This window comes from Homo sapiens, chromosome 12, assembly GCF_000001405.40.
Source record: "Homo sapiens chromosome 12, GRCh38.p14 Primary Assembly".
Classification (NCBI taxonomy): Eukaryota; Metazoa; Chordata; class Mammalia; order Primates; family Hominidae; genus Homo; species Homo sapiens.
The window spans coordinates 113,902,576-113,925,559 of NC_000012.12; the positions used below are offsets into that span (position 1 = coordinate 113,902,576).

At 49.5% G+C, this 22,984-nt stretch overlaps 1 protein-coding gene across 7 annotated transcripts in view, besides 1 other annotated feature; it reads right to left on the reverse strand.

Annotated features, from left to right (window-relative positions):
* RBM19 (RNA binding motif protein 19) overlaps window positions 1–22,984 on the reverse strand; it is a 149,586-nt gene that overhangs the window by 85,836 nt on the left and 40,766 nt on the right. For all 7 annotated transcript variants that reach the window (XR_001748932.2, XR_944848.3, NM_001146699.2 and 4 more), the window contains 4 exons: window positions 22,122–22,182; window positions 18,036–18,115; window positions 15,817–15,872; window positions 12,394–12,510 (listed from right to left, as the gene is read on the reverse strand). Coding sequence is in view for 5 of the 7 variants with exons in the window: in NM_001146699.2 (NP_001140171.1) it covers window positions 12,394–12,510; window positions 15,817–15,872; window positions 18,036–18,115; window positions 22,122–22,182 (314 nt within the window). In the remaining 2 variants the exon portion in view is untranslated. The remainder of the gene's footprint in view (window positions 1–12,393; window positions 12,511–15,816; window positions 15,873–18,035; window positions 18,116–22,121; window positions 22,183–22,984) is intronic.
* Window positions 7,829–8,329: an enhancer, noted in NCBI's record as "H3K27ac hESC enhancer chr12:114348209-114348709 (GRCh37/hg19 assembly coordinates)". NCBI's record gives its function as "activates a minimal SCP1, AML or CMV promoter by ChIP-STARR-seq in primed H9 embryonic stem cells {active_cell/tissue: H9 hESC(primed)}" and the evidence as "EXISTENCE:reporter gene assay evidence [ECO:0000049][PMID:30033119]".

Consider the following 22,984-nt stretch of genomic DNA (forward strand, 5'->3'; position numbering starts at 1 on the left):
ACAACAGAATGAGACCCAGTCTCAAAAAAAAAAAAAAAAAAGACAACGTTATATAAATGGAATCACACAGTATGTCATCTTTTCAGGATTATTTTTTTCTATTTAGTATAAATCTCTGGAGATTTAGCCACGTTGTTTTGTGAATCAATAGTTTGTCCCTTTTTACTGCTGAGCAGCATCCCATGTCTTGAACATACCAGTTTGTGTAGCTATTTTCCTACTGAAAGACATTTGGGTTGTTTCCAAGTTTTGGCTATTTATGCATAAAGGTATTATGAACATTCAATTATAGATTCCTTTTATGGGGGGGTTAGCAGCTTTATTGAGATATAATTCACATCTTATATAGTTCACCCATTTAAAGTGCACAACTTGATGGTTTTTGCTACATTTACAGAGCTGTGCAACCCTTGCCACAGCCAATTTTAGAAGATTTTCATTACCTCACACAGAAGTCCTGTACCCTCTATCCAGTAACTCCCAACCTACCTTCCCCTTCCCTAAGCAACTGTGAATCTACTTTCAGTCTCTACGGATGTGCCTAGTCATCCCTCGGTATCCACAGGGGATGGGTTCCAGGACCCTCATGGGTACCAAAATCCAAGGATGCTCAAGTCCCTTCTGCATTATTTTCGATCTGTGGTTGGTGGAATCTGTGGGTGCAGAATCTGTGGATGTGGAACCCACAGATACAGAATCATAGGATACGTGGCCTTTCGTGTCTGGCTTCTTTCACTCAGCATCATGTTTTCAAATCCACGTTATCAGTAGTCCATTCCTATTTATGGCCGAATAACATTCCATTGTATGAATACACCCCATTTTGTTTATCCACTCATCAGCTGACAGACATCTGTTTTTGTGTGAACGTGAGTTGTCATTTCTCTGTTGTTGATGCCCAAGAGTGCAATCACTGGGTCATAGAGAAAGTGCACGTTTTACTTTGTAAGAAACTGCCCACACTTGGAATTTCCCAGAGCAGCTGTACCATTTTTGGCTCCCATGAGCAATGCATAAACAATCCAGTTTCTCTGCATCATTGTCAGCATTTTGTGTCACCACTATTTTTTATTTTAGCCATCCTGACCGTTACATGTATATTCATTTGTTTGTACCCTCAGCAGAAATCTGATTTTCGGTAACATTTGCTGTGAGTCAGAGCCCTGAATATTCCTCTTGGGCATTCCTTTTGTAGGCTGGCCAACCCTATATCAGATCTTCTATCTTGATATAATCTGGGTAGTTCCTGTCTCTCCCTCCTAAAATAAGAGGACATACTTACTCACTTTACCCGTTAAAAGACAGATTTAAGATGTGGTCATGCCATAGAGGAGTTGAGACCTCTGGGATCCGGACCATGGGATTCTGTTGAGCTACATCCCACAGCTGGTTAATGTGAACCCTGGAGTCCACTAAGAACTCAAGATCTTTTTTTTGAAATAAAAAGATATGAGGCAAGGACTCCTACATTCTGTCTTGGGGCCATTCCCTTAGTGGAACTGATTCCCTGGCATTTTGTAGTCACTGCCTGGTACCTGTGCTCATCTTCCAGGTGGCTCATCACTTCCTTAGACTGTGGTTATTCTGAGGGTAGGAGGTAGAGCACTGAGCTCCCAATAAGCACGTGGTTATTTGTGGACTGCCCTTGATAAGCACAGTGGACAGTAAAACCTCAGGGGTGATGCTTGCTGAAGATAGGCATGTTGTAAGGGCTCAGCAGATATGTTGCTGAATGGGCACATGAAAGAGTTAAAAAAAACTCTTTCCCTTGAATTCATAATAGGAAAGACAGCACAGGAAGAGTATCTGTGAGTGCAAATACGGCTTTGCCACTTGTGCAGGGTTTTATAGCTGGGAAGCCATCTGACTTGTGCGCTTCAGTTCCCCAGGCTTCTTGGCGGGGGAATGAATGAAATCCTGAGCACAAAAGCACTTCAGGCCCCGGCAGGCCCTTGGGTAAGGTGCTGTGCAGACATCGGGAGGTATCGTTAATGGTGCCTTGCTCACATAGGCAGAGAATGCAGCAGCGAGGACCATCAATACTCAAATGCTGGTGCTGAGGCTGACATGCATGGATCCCAACAGGAATGCTCACAGAAGCCCCCAAACACACATAGACACACGGCCAGATGGGTTGAGGCACACAACCTTGGCATCACGACTGTGGCCAGTGGTTATTTGTGCTGTATGACAGGTGAGGAGAGGATGTGTGTGTGTGGAGCGGGGCTGTGAGGGATGCACATTCCACCAAGATGGCAGCTCTCTCAGACTTTCCCGTCCCCGAATGTGGCCAATCATCCAGCTAGCTGCTTAGGACCTAAATATAGGTGTCATCTGCAATCCCTCTCTCTGCCATAGTCCTCACCAAAGCCACCATCAAACATATTCCCAAACTGACCTGGCATCCCACTTCCGTGGCTGACGCCTGGTCCAAGCCGCAGTCAGCTATGGCCCAGGTGAAGCAAAAACCCCCTCTTGGGTCTCCTCACACCTGCTAGTCCCCCTGAGAGACTTTTCTCCTTACAAGATCTTTTACAAATGTAAGTCAAGAAAGCCCAAAGACCTGAAGTGCTAATGGCCAACCCCAGCCAGGCAATCACGAGAAAGAACAAAGCCACTGGATATCAAGTCTATTACAAAGCCTTGGTAATTAACACAGGTTGGTATTGGCATGGGGGCAGACAAATAGACCCGGGGAGCAGATTAGAGTCAGAAGCAGACCCTCACACACAGTCACCTGATCTATGACAAAATCAATGCTGCAGAGGGAGGGGAAAGAATGGTCTTTGCAATAAATGATATTGGGCCAATTGAATATCCAAGTGGAAAAAAAATGCTCCTTGGTCTGCACCTCACGCCATATACAAAAATCAATGCCAGATGGATTGCATACCTTGATGTGAAGGGTCAAAGAGAAGCCTTTCCTTTTAGAGAAAAATATAGGTGGCCACCTTCATGAGCTCAGAGGAGGCAAGGATCTCTTAGCAGACACAAAAAGTTATAACCAGGAAGGAGAAAGAATGACAGTGACAATATCTAAGTGAAGAGCCTCTGTTCATCAAAGGATACCACCAAGAAGGTGAAAGCAACCCACAGAATGGGAGACACTGCAATCACACAGTCCAGAATACAGAAAGTTAAATAAAAAGTAATTAGAAAATTGAAAAGAAAAATAAATTTAAAAATCATACAAGCCAGTTTTTAAAAAGTGGGCAAAAGACTTGAACAGACATCCCACAAGAGACAATAGATATCCAAATGGCTCATAAACATAGGAGAAAATATTTGACTTCCTGAACTATCAGGGAAGCACAGATTAGAACCATAATACAGTAATACCACTGTAGCCATTATCCACCTACCAGAATGGCTAAGGAAAAGACAGACAACACCAAGTGTGGACGAGGATGAGGCGCACCAGAACACCATAAACTGACCGTGGAAGGAAGCGCAAACTGATACAACCACTTTGGAAACCTGCCTGGAAATAAATATCTACTAAAGCTGAGATATGCATACCCTGTGGCCCTGCAATTCCATACCTACACATACACTCTACAGGGACACATGCATGTGGATGCCAAAGAAATGCTCACAGGAGCAGTATTTGAAATAGCCCAAACCCTGCCAACTACCCAAATGCTCATTGGTAAAATGGGTAAGTATATTGCAACATATTCACACAATGGAATTCTAGATGGTCACAACAATGAATGGATTACAACTGCAACATAGCAAGTGCGGATCCCAGAAATAGAATGATGATCAAAGAAGCCAGACACAAATGAGAATATATGTTCCAGTTCCATTTACAGAAAGTACAAAAACAGGCAACACTAATATATGTTTTTCGAAGTTAAGAGAGTGGCTGCTCTTGGTGGGGGGCAGGTAGTGACTGGCAGGAGGCGCTGGGCAGGGGCTAGCTGGAAATGCTCTGCCTCTTGAGCCAGGTGCTGGTTACACAGTGGTGCTGAATTTGTGACCACCTGCCATACTGTCCGCTTAGGATCTGTGCACTTTTCTGCACGCATGCTAGCTGGCAATCACACGGGGCAAGGCTGGTCCTGCCTCGTCGGGGCTCGGCATTTACTGTCTCTGGATCTGCACGTGCTCACTCCTTCACAACCCAGGTCTCCACGCAAATGTCCCCTGCTTGGAGGAGCCTTACCTAACTGCCCAGTCTAAGATTCCCTGTACTGGATGTCTCCCAAATGATGTGTACTTGAAACCTGTAATGTGACCTTACTTAGAAATAGGACCTCTACAGATGTGATCAAGATCAGATGGGGTCATATGGATTAGTGTGGGTCCTCGATGCAATGCCCGGTGTCCTTATCGGGAGAAGGCACAGAAGGAAGAACGCCAGAGACGACAGAGGCAGAGACGGGACTGACACAGCCCCATGCCAAGCAATAGCAGGGATTGGCAGCAGCTTCCAGGAGCGGGAGGAAGCGAGGAAGGATCCCCCCTGCAGCCTTCGGAGGCAGCATGGCCCTGCCCACACCTTGAACTGGGACTTCTGGCTTCTGGAACTGTGAGAATACATGTCTGCTGTTTAAGACCCCCATTGTGGCATGTTGTCATGGCAGCCACAGAAACTGGTACTGGTCTTATTCTCATCCCTCCTAACTCTTGCTTTAACTGTCTTCAGAACGCTCATGCCACCATGTCACGGAATTTATTTGTTCATTTGTTTACTGCCCCTACTGCCAACCACCATTAGAACATAAGAGCCACGAGGGCAGGAACTTTGCCTTGTTCACAGCCACCTTCCCAGTGCCGAGCAATGCACCTGGTACAGAGAGAGGCTCCATCAACGCCAGAGGAATGCCAGGGGAATAAATCTGCATCTCCCGTGGTGCAGAGGAGACAGGAGGCACCCCATGCACACTGAAGGAATGAAAGCACGCATTCATTCCGTCCTTTCAAACCACAGCAAAGTAGGAAGAGTGGGAATATCCTGATAGGAAAACAGGGCAGAGTGGGGAAATGACCCGGTCCTCGCGGCCAGCCCTCCGAGGGGGTCAACAGGACTTAGCTTTATTTGTAACCCCTGTATGTTTTATAAGGGGAGGAAAAAAATACCTTATCTGTGTAACTGAAACTAGAAGGCCACAAACCCCGTTTTCTGACTTCAGGTTCCCAGTGCTCTGTGAGGACGTGCCAAATCCCCACTTAGGCCTTGTGTTTAACTGAGTCCAGGGGTTGGCAAACTTTTCCCAGCCAGGGCCAGAGCATCGATATTTGGAAATACCTCATCAAGGTAGGATGAGGTCATATGGATGAGGTTGCAAGCTCTTAACTCTGCTGCGGAAGCCCCAAAGCACCAGGCAATAATGAGCAAGCATAGCTGGAGTTGGTCAGTGGTCAGTGGCTGTGATGCCCCCTGACCTAGGGCCTCTCTGGGGAAGTGGATTTGGGAGGAGACGACCTGTGCAGAGGAGAGACACCTGGGGTCAGCCTCATCCTCCTCACCCATCCCTTTGAGAACTTGGCTAAGGGTTTTCTCCCACCCCACACACCTCACTCAACCCATCCTGCCTGGCTGGCTCTCAGGAGCTGCCTGAGCCTGATTTTTGCAGAGTTTCTTCAGGGAAAGCCTGGAGAATGGGAAGTCTTCCCCCATCCTGCTCTGTGTCTCTGCCCTAGCAGATGAAAGGGCTCAAAGGGCTGGAAGCTTTTGGAAAAGTACTGCTGACAACCAGGAGTCAATCGGGCAGTGACCCCATGCCTGTGTGGGGGAGACAAGGGAGGTGTGTGTGGGGAGCATGAGTGAGCAAGCTGTCCTCGGCCCTCCTTCCACTGTCACGGCCACTGCAAGAGGAAATGAGAAGGCCAGGAGGCCAGGGATGGACAGACGTTGCCCACAAAGCAGGCACAACAGGTGTGGGGTGGACAGGAGATGCAAGCCTTGTAATTAAGATCTCCAGACACCTGTTGTGAACTCTCGCCCATTCACACCCTAGCAGGTGGTTCACACCTCAAGGAAGAAAATAGCAAAAAAAAAAAAAAAAAAAAAAAAAAAAAAGATGCTGAGATAAAAGGAGAAAAGTAGCTCTCCATCTGCCAGCCTGCAATTGCTGCCTGCTCTCACCAGACATCCCTGACCCATGGCAGGAGTTCCAGGGCGATAAGTGAAGCTCTGGAGGGAGAGCTGGTTGTGCTGGTCTGTGTGACCAGCCTCAGAGCTGTGTGACCTGGGGCAGACTGCTGAACCTCTCTGTGCCTTACACTTCGCGTTTCTACCAGGATTGTATTGAGACAGGCTTCACATAGTGGGTATGCACTCCACAAACATTATCACAGCACCAGCTATGTAGCAGGCACCTGTGGACATGACAGTGAGCCAGTCAGAGTGTCCCAGCTTATATTCGGGGGTTGGGGGTCAGTACACTAAGCAACCACATGGAGCAGTTCCAAGGGGAGCTGAGGCAGCTGGGGTGCAATGGTAACGGGACTGCAGGACCGCAGGACAGGCTGAGCTACCCTGGACAGGGGTCAGGAGTTAGTCAGTGGAAGAGTGTGCTGGCGTGTGCTGAAGGCCTCATTTTATTCTATTTTTTTAGAGAGAAGGTCTCACTCTGTTGCACAGGCTGGGGTGCAGTGGCCTGATTATAGCTCACTGCAAACTCAGACTCCCAGACTCAAACAATTTTCCTGCCTCAGCCTCCTGAGTAACTGGGACTATAGGAGTGCCACACAGTTCAGCTAATTTTTGTATTTGTTGTAGAGATGGGGTCTTGCTATGTTGTCCAGCATAGTCTCGAACTCCTAGCTTCAAAGGATCCTCCTGCTTTGGCCTCCCAAAGTGCGGGAACAGACTTTTAGCATTTGCTACCCTGGTGATGGCCATGCGGGCGATTTTCTCTCAGGGGCCAAGCTCAAGGAAAAGCTAATTGCCCAAAGCCCCAACCAAGAAGGTAACTCTCTCACAAATGTCCACCTGACTCCAATGGCTGGAAGGCAACGTGAACCACCTGTCGGTAAAAAGGAAGGGAGGGAGCGGTGAAGGAAGAAAGCGAAATCGGGTCTTGACTGTGAACCTGTGGATGTCAGCTTCCCACAGAGAAGACAGCGGAAGCTCACAGGTGGAAAGTGAGCCGGGGGACTCTGGAGTACTGTGTATATGGACAGGCTAAGCGTGAGCCACCCAAGCCTTCCTTCTCACCTCCAGACCCACTTGACTGTCTTCCTAAACCTAACCCCAAACAGTGTTCCTGACGTGGCAGACCACCAGAAGGAAACACAGTAATAACAGCTACGCTGGCTGGGAGCTTTTCATGAGCCCGGCACTACGCTAGGCGTCTCACATACTTGACTCATCTTTTATCACCCAGCTGTCAGGCAGGGCTTTTCATCCCCATTTTACAGATGAGGAAAACTGAGGCCCGGAGAGCTAACATGACATAGCATAGGAAGGGAGAGAAGTGCATTGAATCCACAGATTTATCACCAGAACTGACTCTTCACCATGACTTGACCTGGCCTGGACTTCAGAGCTGCCTAGACATTCCCACGCCATCCTCAGAGAGGCAGGTCTGAAACGCGCTCCTTAGCAGTTTCCACAGAGGGCCTTAGTGATGATCATGACAGTGACAGACATGCTCCCATAAACACCTCCCTCCTTTAGTCAGCCTGTCCACCCACCCTCTCCCTGAGCCTTTCACCGCCTGGGCAGGGAGGCAGGGGAGGCAGACACACTCTTCATTCCCACCCTGCAGGCGAGCAAACTAAGCCTGGCCAATGGCCACTACACCCAGGCTCCAAACTTCCCGATTCTTCTACTGGTTCACAGGCAGAACTGGCTATATAGTTGGCAGGGCCTGGCGCAAAAGAAAAATCCAGGACCCCTTGTTCACACATTACTAAGAATTTCAAGATGGTGACAGCAGTGCATTTAACCAAGTGTGAGGCCAATCCTGTTTGCAGAACCTCCTTCCTGGAAGATGGGGGGTACTGCCTGCCAGAACCCAGGTGGCTCAAACAAGGCTGCCCCATGGACTATGACAGAAATGGGCAAGCCGAGGGTCCATCTAGGAATAGCACCGTTACTGTCTGTACCCTAGTTTCTTCATATAGAAGGCAGGTTTAACAACAGTCTTACCATGTTGGGCTGCTGTGTGGACGAACTGATACAAAGACTGCGTGGCACGTGGTTCACCCCATGTCCCATGCCTCCCCGATGCCTGTATTAGCCAGCTCTGTTTTTAACACCACTTCCAGCTTTTGAAATGGGGGTGGAAATAAGACCCTCTCCACCAAACGCTTGAGCTCTGCATACAGCTGCTGTGTATCAGCAGGAGAGCCCCAAGTGTAAGCTTCATTTGCATGTATACACTCAGGCCCGATCCAGGCCCTGAACTGCCTCTCTGCCCTGGGCACTTCCTGGTGGAGACAGGGAAAGAGGAAAATAAACAACATGGCAAAACACACATGTGCAACATACCTACTCCAGAGCAAACCCAGATGGGGTGGCGGTGGGGGGGGTGGGAAGCCCAGTCTCCACTTCCTTCCTTCCTTCTTTTAGATCCATACTAACCTAAGACTCTGGGCACCTGCCGGGTGAGCTGACCACTGGCCATTTCCGTCCTTGTTTGAGTGGTGGGGTGAGAAGTTTGTGTGTACATGCATACTTGCACAGTCTGGGACACCCCTATTTGTGTGTCTTCCACATTTCCTTTTGGGGGATAAAGGGGAGCTGGCTCAGCCTGTCCCTCAAGGTCCTTCCTGACTCTCTACCCCAGAACACAGACGAATGGGGCAGAAATAGAGGATTACAGGATTACAGCCTTCCTTTACAGAAGAAAAAACAAAAACAAAACAAACAAACAAAAAAACCAGGAAAACGCTGCCCAGGACCTTCAAGGCTTCAGCACTGCCGTTGTGGACCTGGGTTCTGTCTATAAACTCAGATTCAAACCCTGGGTTCAAATCCTGGCTCCACTGGTTTGGTGCTGTTGAACACCACAGTCAACATTTATTAACTACCTGTTACTCTGCCAGGGGCTGGATTAAGTGCCTCATTTGTACAATCTCATTTAATCCTTATAGTCCTTGAGGCCGATGAGCAGCGTGGTGGCCTGAGGCATCTGATGACCCAGTGGGTGGAATTTGGGCTCTGGAGCTGGTTTCTTCACTGAGAAACAGAGACATGAAACTACTTTACCGGGCCACGGTGATGAATGGGCCCCCAGAAACATGAGGCACTGCAGCGCACGGGGCCGGGGACATGAGAAAGAAATCAACACTCACACGTATTACCACAGCATCATCACAAATTAGTGTATGTTATCACTAGTGTTACTACCACTAGTTTATGCCAGGGGAAACTGAAGTCCGAAAAGAGAGCCACAGAGAAGACGAGAATCGCTGTCTGCAAATCCACTGCTGTGCCTCTCTCTGAGTTTCCAAAAGCATAATCCTTGAGTCACCCTAGACAGTGATCCCACAGAAACATGGAAATGCAGTGCCTCCTGATGCCTGTCTGGTTTAACCCAAGGCTGGTTAGTTAAGGGGCTGGAGTGTGGTGCACTGAGGCCCGAGTGGAAGGCTGGTGGCCTCCGGGAAGGGCCCCAGGCACTGCTGCCTCGGGCTAGGAGGCTGCCTTCTCTCCCCTCCAGCAGGCGGGGTAGCTTGAGGCCCTGCCCAGAGAATGCTCTCCGGAGCCCTGCACTCTCACCTGCACACCTGTCCCACTGGCTGTCCCTGTCAGTTTCCTCTCTGGTCCCCCACAGAGAGACCTGAGTCTCTCCTGAAATGGCTACATGCCTCGTGCCTAGCACAGTGCCTGGTATAAATGACACACTCGCTGTCATTTGGTCCCACTGGAATGATCTGGAGGAAGACAGTTCCTTCTAGACCCAAGAAAACAGGCAGCAGAGAGGAGTGGCTCCAAGCCGGGGCTCTGGGTTAGGCTGACTTAGATCCAAATCCCCATTCAGCGGCATGGTCCCAGGCAGGACACTCCATCTCCCTAGTTTCCATCTCCAGTTTCTGTCTGGGTGCAAAAGGAATGACAGCATCCATCCCTCGCAGGGCTGCTGTGCGGCTTAAAAGAGGTGATTCTGCACGGGAAGGCATTCAAGCTCAGAGCCCCGCACACAGCAAGCGTGTAATAAAAGGGAGTTGTGATTTTTACTACACCTGGTAGGAGAAACCCATAGAACCTGCCTGCCCAAATGGACCAGCTTGGTTCCCCGAAACCCTGAAACCTCCCCCTGGCTAATGACCTTTACCGGCCAGTGGCTTTGTCTGAAATCCTGTCTGGGGCTTCCCTGGACAATCTTGAAGTCCCTGAGAAGGCTCACAGCGACCCCTGCTGTCTGCAACGAGGAACTGCCTTACATCCCCAGCCGGAGTGAACAACAATAGCAGGTACGGCCCTCCAAGAAGGTCTTACGTTTCCAGGGTTTTAAGAAAACTCTCATCAGAACAATGGCAAGGAGAAGAGTCACCACATGTAATTATGTTCAGTGGACACTAATTCCCTGTCTTCTAAAAATAAATATAATACATGAGATCACACAAAGTGCTCTCTCTTCCCTTGTGGTCTTTTGTTTCCCCGGATAAGTGTCATCCTAAATATACTGCAGAACCAAGTGAAACTGTCATTTCAGCGGGATATTATTTCCCGATCAACATGCGCTCTTCTTAGCAAGCCCGTTTTAATCTGGCAGTTCTTAAGTTGGACTCCTTTTAAAAAGCAGAGCATGTTTAAACAAGCAGACATACCGAGAGGCTAAGGATATGTACCTTCCTGGAGGGACGACTGATCAGTCGAGGTTTAGGGAAATGGGAAACCTCCCCCCAGGTCATGACCCCATCTCGCCAGGCTATTCCTGCTGTGCAGGATACCCGGAGATCATAGCTAAGATCCTGCTTCCCAGATACTGGCAGGATTGGTCTCTGCCTCAGATCCCAGCTCACCACACACCACATCTGTTTATGAACTGAATACTAGTGTATGATTTAGAACAAACAGAGGGGAAAAGGAGGACAAAGATATCTGAAGTTCCCCACATGACTTCTTATTCTTCAAACTACAGAGTGAGAGCAAAGAAGGTAGATGCCACACAAAGATAATTGTTTCTCATCTCCAAAACACAAGGCTGATTTTGTAACCACAGATTACCTTGCAAGATGCTAACTGGCAACTCTAACAGAGGCTTCACTCTTGGACCCTTGTGCAAGTGTAGAATGAACGAACGAGACCTAGTGTCTAGAATCCTAAATGTTCACCCACGCGCAGGCCATGGTGCTGCAGGTCCCCCGAGCAGTCCTGGATCCCACCGAAGCCTCAACAATGTGTTTAGGTGAAGCTGACTTCATCTGCCTTTGCATTCTGAGAGCTAGATGGTCTCTCTATTACCCTGCCCATGCCTTGGGTGGGGGGGCCTTGGCTTCAAGCATTCCCCTTAGGCCCTGATATGAGGACGTTTCTTTCATTCATGGCTTGGTGCTGGGTGGTGCCTACCTAATCTGAAAAGCCAAACACTGTAACATGGCAGCGTAGGGATCACCAACTAGGGGCCCTGGGGCAGGCCAGACTTGTTTTGTTTTTAAAAAGTGAATTAGTTGCTGATGAATTCTCCTTAAGAATCCACATGGCTGGTTTCTCTTTCAAAACATGGGAACTGGTCTTACGAAGCCTGAGTTCCTGCATGGCATCCCAGCTGGATGACCAGAGAGAGGCCCGCCTGCTGCTCAGTCCCCACCCAGCCTGCTGCCGTTACCGGCTGGGTCCCTGCGACAGCTGCATTTTCCACCCCTGTGCAAGCAGGTGCTGACGGACTGCTTTATGTGTGCAGGTAATTCGCCTTCATTTCCATAGAGTCATTTAGGCCACTGGTCCCCAACCCCGGCTGGACATTAGGATCCCCTGGGGAGCTTTTAGCAAAACACCGATGTCTAGACCCCACTGTTGAAAAATGGAATCCAACTCTCTGGGGGTGCAGCCTCGGGAAAGGTGTATTTTAGCCATTGCCAGGTGGCTGGAATGTGTGGCTAAGGTGGAAAACCAGCACCTTAAACCAAAGGGGTAGCCTGGATGGAGGAAATTTCAAGCAGATCATGGGTAGGGCTGGGTTTTAGCCACTGGGGCCCCTGCCCCTCTTGCACGTTGTGGATGGGGACAGGGAAGCCTGCCTGCCCTTTCTCCATCTGCCTCGGAGAGGGGGAAGCCTGGCTGTTTTGACTTTTTTCCTGCACAGTGCTCTGGGGAGCCACATCTGAGATTAAGGGAGATAAATCAAAAGCAGCCAAAAGATGACCTTTGAAAGACCACTGTGCCGGCCTGCAACGGAACCATCCAGGACCCAAAGGCCATCTTCCCTGAGACTCGGGCAGGCTCCCCGCCCACACGCCAGTCCCCTGGACTAAACCTGAAGTTCTCACCTGAAGAGCTCTCGGATCTCCCGGCTGTGGGCCTGGAAGGGGATGTTCCGCACCAGGATCTTGGAGGTGGTCTGCTTTCTGGGAACTTGTTTCTTCCGAGCCAATGTCACGGCTGGCCTGGAGTGGTGGGGGGAGAGGGTCCAAGTTATTCGGAGCTTCAGCAGCTCCTGCCCAACATTGACTCCACTACGCCTCCATCAGAATATTCAGGTGATGGATTCAAGGAGTGTGCGTGGGGTGCGGGACCAACGTGAAAGGAGAGGAAGGCCGTCTCCCACCAGGTGATAGGACCCAAAACAGCTGCAGACGTCAGGGGGACACATCCGTGCTTGGGTGGCTGCTGACCTTCATTTGAGAGACTCCGGGGCCACCAGGGACTTAAGGAGCCCCGCTAAGGGTGGGGCTGGTTTCTCACCAAACCCAATCTCCATTGTGTCTTTCTCTCCAGTTGCAAAGAAAGACCCCAGTTGGTTTCCAAAGGTCTTGTGACACTTCATCAATAACCCGAGGAGGAACATGCGGGGGCCTAACCATGCAGATGGACCAGGTGGCGAGCAAGGACACTCTCAGCCCAGGTTCAAGGCCATCCCCAATGCAGTGCTACCTGGCCTGTCTCCCTGCTCTCCCAGGGAAACCTCCCACTCCACCAAAACAGGGTAGGGAAGTGAGCAAGGCTGGGAGTTAACAAGCTGGGTGTGAATGCCAAATCCGACACTTAGGATCTCTGCGATCTTGGGCAAGTAACATGGCCGCTCTGGGCCTCCATTTCTTCCACTGTAGAATGGGTGTAATGATAGGCCCACCTAATTTGATTGTTTGAAGATTTAATAAGCAGACTCAGCACTGGACCCAGAATGTGGTAAACATTCAATAAACAGCAGCTGTTATGATAATGACCATGTTAGGACTTACCTCCTTCAGGCCTGCTCCACGTCACCTCCTCACAGGCCTTCCCTGTCTCCATTAAAATGGCAGCCCCCTCACCCACAGCCCCCAGCTTCATTTCTCTTCCTGGCACTGATCCCTGTGCTAGTACATTATACATTTAATCATGTTTCTTTTCTTTTTTTTGTCTTGTCATTCTGGGGCTATGCTGTCTCATATGGCAGCCACCAGCCACATGTGGCTAGTTGAATCTAAATTAAAATGAAGCAAAACTAGGCTGGGCATGGTGGCTCACACCTGTAATCCCAACACTTTGGGAGGCTTAGGTGGATCACCTGAGGTCAGGAGTTCAAGACCAGCCTGGCCAACATAGTGAAACCCTGTCTCTACTGAAAATACAAAAATTAGCCAGGTGTGGTGGCAGGCGCCTGTAATCCCAGTTACTTGGGAGGCTGAGGCACGAGAATTGCTTGAACCCAGGAGGCGGAGGTTGCAGTGAGCTAAGATCACACCACTGCAGTCCAGCCTGGGTGACAGGGTGAGACTCCGTCTCAAAAAAATAGAAGCAGCAAAACTACAAATTCACTTCCTCGGTTGCTGGGGTATCAGGCTCCAAGATGGTGCCCAGTGATTCCTGGCTCTTGGTGTTCATGCCCTGGGTAATCCCTTCCCATGCTGTATCAGGGCAGGTCTGGGTGACAAGCAGCATACAGCAGAGGGATGGTGTGTGAATTCTAAGACTAGGTTGTAGAAGACATTGTGGCCTCCTTCTTCCCCATTCTTGGATCACTCACTCTGGAGAGACCCGCTGCCATGCCATGGGGACACTCAAGCGGTCCCAGAAAGAGATCCCCAAGGTGAGGAACTGAGGACCCCTGCCAGCAGCCATGTGAGTGTATCATCTTAATGACAGATCTACCAGCCCCAGCTGAGCCTTCAGATGACTGCTGCCCTAGCCGACATCCTGACTGTAACCTCATGAGAGACCCTGAGCCAGAATTCCCAGCTAAGCTGCTCCTGAATTCCTGACCCATGAAACTATGAGATAATGTTTTCTTTTCAGCCTTTAAGTTCTGGGATACTTTGTGATGCAGCAATAGATAGCTAAAACAGTTGCACTTGCCATATCTCAAGAGCTAAATAGCCATGTGTGGCAATTGACTACCATATTGGACAGAAGAGATGTGGAACATTTCCATTGCTGCAGAAGCTTCTATGGAACAGCACTGCCCTAGGGTGTAAACTCCCAAGGAAACACTATCCCCCATGCCTAGAAGGAGGATGTGGTACACAGTGGGCTTGCTGTAATTTTTTCTTGAGTAAAACAATGGTTCCATGAACACTGGCTAGGAAGTGAGACCTTGCAAGGCTGAATTCAGGCTGGCTCTCTGGAGATAGGGTACTGGAAAGAAACTGCTGGCTCAGTGCTCATGGGCACTGCAAGTGCTGGATGCTTAACACACAACCTCTACTTAGCACGTTTCACTTCAGAGGCAAAGTCACCCATGCAAGGTCACAGAGCTCCTGAATTAGAAACTACAGGTGTGGGGCTCAAAGCCTGAGCTCCTTCTGTTATACTGGCAGCTCAGGAACCCCCACTAGACTTCTGAGGGCCTCTGTACCAAGCCATCTTCCCTCCAAGGATGCTTAACATAGCACAGACCACAATGGGTGAAAAACACCAGAGCTGGCCCAAGCTGGACTCACAGGAAGCATTAACAACAAAGAAAGAAGGAAAAAGAAAGGTCAATTCGCTGGAAGCTAATTTGCCGGATGACCACAACAAATTACCAACTTGTTGAAAACTACCAAATAAATATCTGAAACCAGCTCTAGGGCTGTTAGAGGCATTCATTTTATCACCCGATGCAAGTAGATGATAATGACAATAATGGCTTACGCTGGGCACCTGTTATGTGCCGGACACTGTTGGAGGCACGTCGGGTGTAATAGTTCATTTAGATATACAAGCAGGTAGAAATGGAGGTGCAAAGATAAATCTCCAAACAATCCCCCTACTTCAGTATACTGGTCATTGGGCAAATTGGTCTGCCTCCATCTCTAACACCTACGGAATCTCTTTCCCATTAACTGGAGGCCATCGTAGGCACTGCCATTCAGCTCTAAGAAAGCACGTCCCATAAAGCTGAATGTCTAGGTTTTACAGCTTCTTCTGGTTCATCCACAGCACCAGCAACCTCCAGCTCTTCCTTGGTTTATTTATCCCAAGATGAGTGTTGTTTGCCTGTTTCTCCTGCACTTGTTCCTTTTCTTATTAAAAAAAAAAAGAAAAAAAAAAGCCCCTGTGCATTAAACATTCACCCAAAGGACTAACACTGTTGTAGTTCACTGGGAAAATCAGGGTCGGACTTGGTAAATGCCAACATAATTAGGCATCTTAATTAGGAAGAGTCCTAAATGGTAAAGGGATAGGTGGAAAGGACATTGAAGGGTTGTGAGACAGCCTCCAGGGTGGCCGGCACCAAGCACAGGAAGCCCCAGCTCGTAGGAAAGGAAATGAGGACACTGAAGACTCACTTAGTGGCTCGTTCCGAGATCCTCACTTCCAGCTTGTGGCCGTCCACGACGTGACCCTAAGAGAGAAGACAACATGGCTCATCTCTCTGTCCCGAGAAATACTCACCCGAATCCTTGCCCTTCACCAGAGCAGAGCCCTGGCTCGCAGATGGGAGCCTGATTGTTCCCCGGGGAGTGGGGCTAGCTGGTCTAGAGGACAGAGGATGGTTTTTCCCTGAAATGGCTCACACCGTGCCCAGGCAGCAGCTGGTGGTCAGAGACTCAGCCCTTGGACGCTCTCTTAAGCCACAGGTAGGCCTTGACCTAGATGTCATTCAAGGGACACGGAATTTTCCATTGTTTATAAGCATGTTCAGGCAAAGTAAGGCCCTTAGGTCTGGCTTGCAGAGAGAGTTGGGTTTAGTTTGTATGTTCCTGAAAAATATTCTAAATCCTAGTGGAGTTGCATCTAAAGCTAGGTTCTAACATTGGTCCCTCAAGGCAGAACTGGTGTATTAGCAAAATTACCCTTGAAAATCCCTTAAATCTCCCATAAAATACAGCACACAGAGCTTCGTAGGAACAATTCTTGGAGGCAATATTCACATATGCATGCACACAATGATGTCCAGAACATAATACAGTACACGTGCAAAGTGAAATTTCATAGAATCTTATATCGCGTGAAAGAGAAACACGGACCACTGAACCTGCAGAGCCAATTTTAAGTTAAATGAGTACACAGCCCCTGACCAGGAAGGGCCTAGGATGTGGGGCATTATGAAGGGAACAGAGGATACCTTCTCAAGCTACTAACACCTACTGCATCTGCTTCACTTTAGCTGAAGGCCATCCTAGGCACCATGCATCAGGATGCATCATCTAATGCAAAGCCACAGAGCTTCTGGATTAGAACTTAGGCTGAGCATGGTGGCTCACGCCTGTAATCCCAGCACTTTGGGAGGCTAAGGCGGGCGGATCACGGGGTCAGGAGATCGAGACCATCCTGGCTAACACGGTGAAACCCCGTCTCTACTAAAAATACGAAAAATTAGCCGGGCTTGGTGGCGGGCGCCTGTAGTCCCAGCTACTCTGGAAGCTGAGGCAGGAGAATGGCGTGAACCTGGGAGGCGGAGCTTGCAGTGAGCCGAGATCGCGCCACTGCACTCCAGCCTGGGCGACAGAGTGAGACTCCGTCTCAAGAAAAAAGAAGAACTTATAGCTGGTGCAAAATTTGCCCTTTGGGATGGTGCCAATCCCAGGCTGTTTTGCTCTCCACAGCCCTAACTCCCCTCCTGCTAGAGAGTATCAATCTGTCCTTGTACTTAGGATCCAGCAGGAAGGCATATCTCCCTTCTCTGTCTGAATAGGATGTTGAGTCTCTGTCCAAACAGCTTTCGGTTCAGCCCTGTTCTCCCCACCTTCTCCCCAACTGGCCAAGCCTGGATGACTCAAGGGTCTCCTACCTGCCCCCTGCCCCCAGCCATCGTCCCCTCTCCACACCAGCAGCTGCAGAGGCTGGAGTAGAAGCCAGTGTGCTCACAGCCCCCTAATGGTCTCCCACTGCCTTTAGGCTGAGCAGTAAAATGGCCTAGAAGATCCTGCCCTGCACACCTCTCTCCTCATCCTGCACCCTGAACCGCCACCCCACGCCGCCCCTGCCACAGTGGCCTCTTAGCTTTTCAAACGTACTAAGCTCATTCCCACCTTATGGCCCCTGCCTCAGACCCTCTGCACATGGTCCCTCCTCCCCAACTACCTCCCTCCCAGATCTCTGTGCAGCTGACTTCTGGCCAAGCAGGTGTGGCCTCAACTGTCACCTCCTTAGAGAGGCCTTCCCTGACCACACAGCCTAAGTGCCCCACCTCCACCCCCAACTCGCAGCTTTGTCTTCATGACCTGGTCCTGCATGTTTATTCAGAGGTCCATGGCCTGTCTACCCCACCAGAAAGAGGGGCCCACGTGAGCAACCTCTCCCAGGCCTACCACCACCCCTGGCTCACGTCAGGCCCTTGATAATAGTGCTGTGGATCAAATGAATGAACTATGGTGACCGTGGAGTGTTGGGAAAGGTTCTTAATTTTTTCTTGGGCCACAGTCCCGTAGAGATCTGGGAAAAGCAATGGGCCCGGTCAAGTGTAGACTTCATACATATTCTCACTCAATTTCAGAGGGCTGACGGGACCTCCCACTACCTGCCAAGTGCCTCCGTGGCCCTCAGCTGAGAATCTTCACTTTACCTGGAGCTGCTTGAGAGCTTTCTGGGCTTGCTCCGGCTTCCTGTATTCCACAAATCCAAACCCCATGGAAAGGAGCACTCCTGAGAGAGAGAGGTGGAAATCACACCAGTCGGTGAAGCGGAAGCACAAGGCCAAGTGCAAGGGCTGTGACGGGCCCCCAGACCTGCGCTGTATTTCCTCTTCTTTTCATACCCCCTTCATTCCCCCCAAAAATCTCAGCACCTGGCTTGCTGTTTATCATTAGTCATCTTGACGAATCAGCCAACGCAGTTAACATGGCTGCCACCTGAGGCCCATTTGACTATTAATTAACAGATGACTGACATGATAATTAACTTCATAATAGGATTCTGCTTTGGGAGGGAGACTGACCTAAGAGAGATGACCATCATGAAGGCAAGTGGCAAAACCTCTACCTGGGCAGTCCTCTGCCTCCACACGTAATGCCTAAAATGAATATGTGCGTGAGAGTCAAACGCACCAAAGGCTTGCTCTTCACAAATATTTCTCACCAGCCAATCACATTCAGTTTCCTGGGTTTCAGATATAAAGTTTGGATCATGTGGGCGACTGCATTATTCAAACTTCTCTGGTTCCTTACTTCTAGGTTGCAAGTAGCAAGAGTTCAGATAGCAAAGAATACTGCAAAAATTTCATCAGAAACTTCCGCTTCCTCACTATGTGTAACTGGGGAGGGAGGAGTGTTTTTATAGGGCACTAAAAAACATTAAGATCCCTAATTACATCTTGCCCTCTTGACATTAGATTTGATGTCCCCCCACCTTCCACCCACACCCCAGCATCTCATACATATTTGTTAGGTTTCTTCTTTATTGTGAATTCAAAGAAGATTCCCTTCAGTCTGATGGGTTCAAATGAGGCTCAAGGCTCTCTACCTTTGGCTCACTTTGCAGGTCCTATCTTTACCTTTACTGTGCTGTTTGTGAGACCTATGCTCCTGCCTTTCCATTGACAGCAGGTGTTACAAAATAAGAGCCAACTGCATTAAGGAATTCCATTAATTGCCCATACATGGCTCAGACAGAACTGACAGCCAGTGCCACCCCATGGCGACTTTAAATGTTCGTTCTGCAAGCAGATACTGCTCCAAAGCTCTCTTTTGGAGGCTCGAGGCTGCAGGTGGTGGGCTGGCATGTCTGTGCACCTGTGAGATTTTAAAAGTGCAGTGACTGTGTGAAAGGCAACTGTGAGAAGGTCAAGTTCAACTCTGAGTTACTGACACTATGCAGATCCACTCTCCGCCACCATCCTCTATGGGAAACTGACCTCTATAGACAGCTCTACCTGGGCTCCCCAGATTCCTTGCTTCCTGTTGGGATCAGCCAGCAAGAGGCTCTGATCTGGCATTGCGGGGTGGGGGGATGGAGGAGAGAGAGGCTGGAGTACTGGATCCTTCCACATGTCCCCACCCGCCTCCTTGCTTTGGGTGGCTCTGCAGTGGCCACGTCCAATCCACGGCCACCACTCCTGCAGGTTATCTCGTGGCTCCAACTCTCAGCTGAGCTCTGGTCACACGTTTTCCTTTAATGCCCCTCCAGGCACGGCAGGCGGAAAGGCATTCTTCCTGTAGAGCCCACTTCCTGGACATCCCTGTGGGCTCCCTTAGCCCAGCCACACGTCGGCCCCTTCCTTACAGACATCTCTGCTCCAACCCCAGCTGAGAGTGCTTTCTGTTTCCTGCTGCAACCCTGACTGATATACTTTGTTTAGATTTTCACCAAACTGTGACGGATGGGCCCCAGAGAACAGGGGTCTCAAATACAGGCCCTTGAAAAAGACAGTGTATGTTTTAAGAGCTGCTTATGACATGGAAAGATCAGATAACCACTTCTAAAACATGCTGAAGAGTGCTCCCCAGGAGTACAAGGCTGGCCCCACAGAGCATCTGACTGGGCGCAGTGAGAGGCAGGGACAGCCACCTCCACCTGCTGGCCTGGGTGCACCTCTGTCAATCTGACCCCCATCCTGGACTTCAGCAATAACTTTTTTTTTTTTTTTTCCTGAAATCCTCAAAACTGGTCCTTCTCATAATTAACTTGGTACTTAGCTGCCTTTCCTTGCACCCAAAACTATATCTGAAGACCCTGGAGAACAGGGATGTTAAGGGGTGAACAGTGTCTTCCCAGACTCACATGTAGAATCCTGACCCCCAGTATCTCAGATGTGACCTTATCTGAGACAAGCTCTTTACAGAGGTAACCAAGTTAAAATGAGGTCACAGGCCAGGCGCGGAAGCTCACGCTTGTAATACCAGCACTTTGGGAGGCCAAGGCAGGCAGATCACTTGAGGTCAGGAGTTCGAGACCAGCCTGACCAACATGGTGAAACCCCATCTCTACCAAGAATACAAAAATTAGCCGGGTGTGGTGACACATGCCTGTAATCCCAGCTACTGGGGAGGCTGAGGCACAAGAATCGTTTGAACCCAGGAGACAGAGGTTGCAGTGAGCTGAGATCACACCATTGCACTCCAGCCTGGGTGACAGAGTGAGACTCTGTCTCGAAAAATAAAAATAAATTAAATGCAGTCATTAGGGTGGGCCCTAAATCCAATATGATTGGATGACTGCTGTTCTTTTAAAAAAAGTGTGGGTGGATTTGAACATGGGATGGGCATATAGAAGGAGGATGCCCTGTGAACATGGAGGAGGCCATCTATAAGCCCAGAGACAGGCCTAGAACAGACCTTCCCTCGCAGCCCCCAGAAAGAACCAAATCAACTGGCACCTTGATCTTAGACTTCTAGACTCCAAGGCTGTGAGACAACACATTTCTGTCATTTAAGCCACCCAGTCTGTGGCACTTTCTTATGGCAGCCCGGCAAACGAATACAAGGGATGTTCTGACTTCTGTGCTGTATGTCTGCTTAGAACCCTCCATGGCTCCCCAGTACTTCTGGGGAAAAGTCAAAACTCTTCTGTGTGTGTGGCATAAAAGCCACTTCATGGTTTGGAACTTGCCTACCTTTCTAGGTGTAGGCGTATCTCCTGACTCTTCCTCAACGAATTCCCCAGGCTTGGCCACTGCAGTGTGAGTGGCCTCTGAACACCTTGTTCCCGCCGCCTGGCTGCTCTGCCCCCCACCCCTCCCAGCCTCGGGCTGATGTGGTGTCCCCTGTGCTGGACGCCTGTCCCTGCCATCCAACCCCTTGCTGCACTCTGCTGTAACCACCAGCACATTGGTCTCTCTAGCTAGACTGTGTGCATGCTGCGGGCAGGGCTGCGTCTCCCTCAGTCTTATATAACTAACACCGTGCCTGCTGCCTGGTGGGGCCTGGGGACTGTCTGAGGAGTAACTCAACAGCAGACATTCTGGCCACCCAGTACTTTGCATGCAGTAGGTGCTCAGGACACAGTTTGGGCTGACACATGTAGCATTCCTACAAATCCTGCCAAACCAAAGGGACTCAGGATAGGGCTGGCATGGCTGTGCGAAAGCAAGGACGTATCCCCTGCAGGAAGCCAGGGCTGGAGCCCAGCAGAGGCCAGGAGACTCAGAATAGCACCCAGGGCCGAATGGAGAGATGAGGGTGCTCTCTGCCTGTCCATGTACCCACTGGCCTGGGAGGTGCATGGTTATTGACTCAGGAAAATCTGTGTGGTTAATGACTCGGTAGAACGTTCCAGAAGTTCTACAACTGGGTTATCTCCCTCAGAAGGGAAGAGGGAGAGTGCAAGACTGGTTGTTTCTTGCTATTTCCTAGGAAACTTCCAGAGCACAAAAGTGCTGGGAGGAGGCAGAGGTTCCTGATACCATCCAGGGTCCTCACTATCTGCCCACAAATGTTACTGCTCTGAAACCACCCCTGACAGTTTGAGGTGGTGGAGGCTCTAGGTTCAGAAGGATCTGACCCAAGAGGCTGCTTCGACTGGAAAGGAGACTCCAGGGGAACAGAAAGAGGGGCTATTTCAAAGAGTCTGAGGCTGACCATGCTTCAGAAAAAAGAGAACCTTCAAAATGTGCAAGGGAGAACTACCCCAACCCCTTGTCTGAAGCTGGAGCTTCTTTTGGAATCCACTCTTTCCGGCTGAATACTGAACACTTTCCGAATTTCATGCGGAATACCTGCTTTGTTCTTCTTCTTGGAGATGGAGCAGCTCTTCACTGTCCCCACTTTTGAAAACACCTGGATAAGAAAGTAACAAGTATCATCAGCAGCTCTAAACCACTATGCAGGCAAGGGCACCTGTCAAACACTATACCCCCAAATTTGCCATATGGACACCTTGGGGTCCCAAAAACATTTTGAGGTGATGAGTGATGACCTCCTTTAAGTAACCTGGGCAGTCCCTTAGAGTTCCCCATAAGAGCAGCTGGGCTTGTTTCTCATTCCAGTTTTAGAAGAAGGAAGTAGGACACAGAACAGCGAGAGACTGACTGCAGATCATGCAATCGGGAAGCTGGGCCTAAGTTCCGAAGCATGGGGTCTACTGCCCCAGTCTGGACCTCTCTCACTGCCCCCTGCACCAAATGCCAGAATAATTTTTACAGAAATTTTAAGTCATAGTCTATTCTATTTTCCCCTTTACTTTTTCTGTCTCCTTTGCTAGAATTTGAAACCCACCCAGAGCAAAATCCATGTTTACCTGGTTCCCGGCTACGTCTTCAGCACTACACACAGAGCCCAGGGAAAGGCAGATACCCAATAAACATTCACTAAATGAGCAATGGGGAAGCCCAGGGGCCGGGGAGAAACTTGAGAAACAAACACTACGAGCAGCAGCTGCTTACTGACTCTTGTGTTTAAAGTGTCAGATGCTTTATTTGGAGTATCTCCTTCATCCAAATCATCAAAACAACTCCATGAGAAGAGTCTATTAACATCCCCATGTTACAGATGAAGAAACTGAGGCACAGAAAGGCTGAAGGACTCACTCAGGGTCACATCATTAGCAAGGGGCAAAGCTGGGATCCAAGCCCAGGTAGAC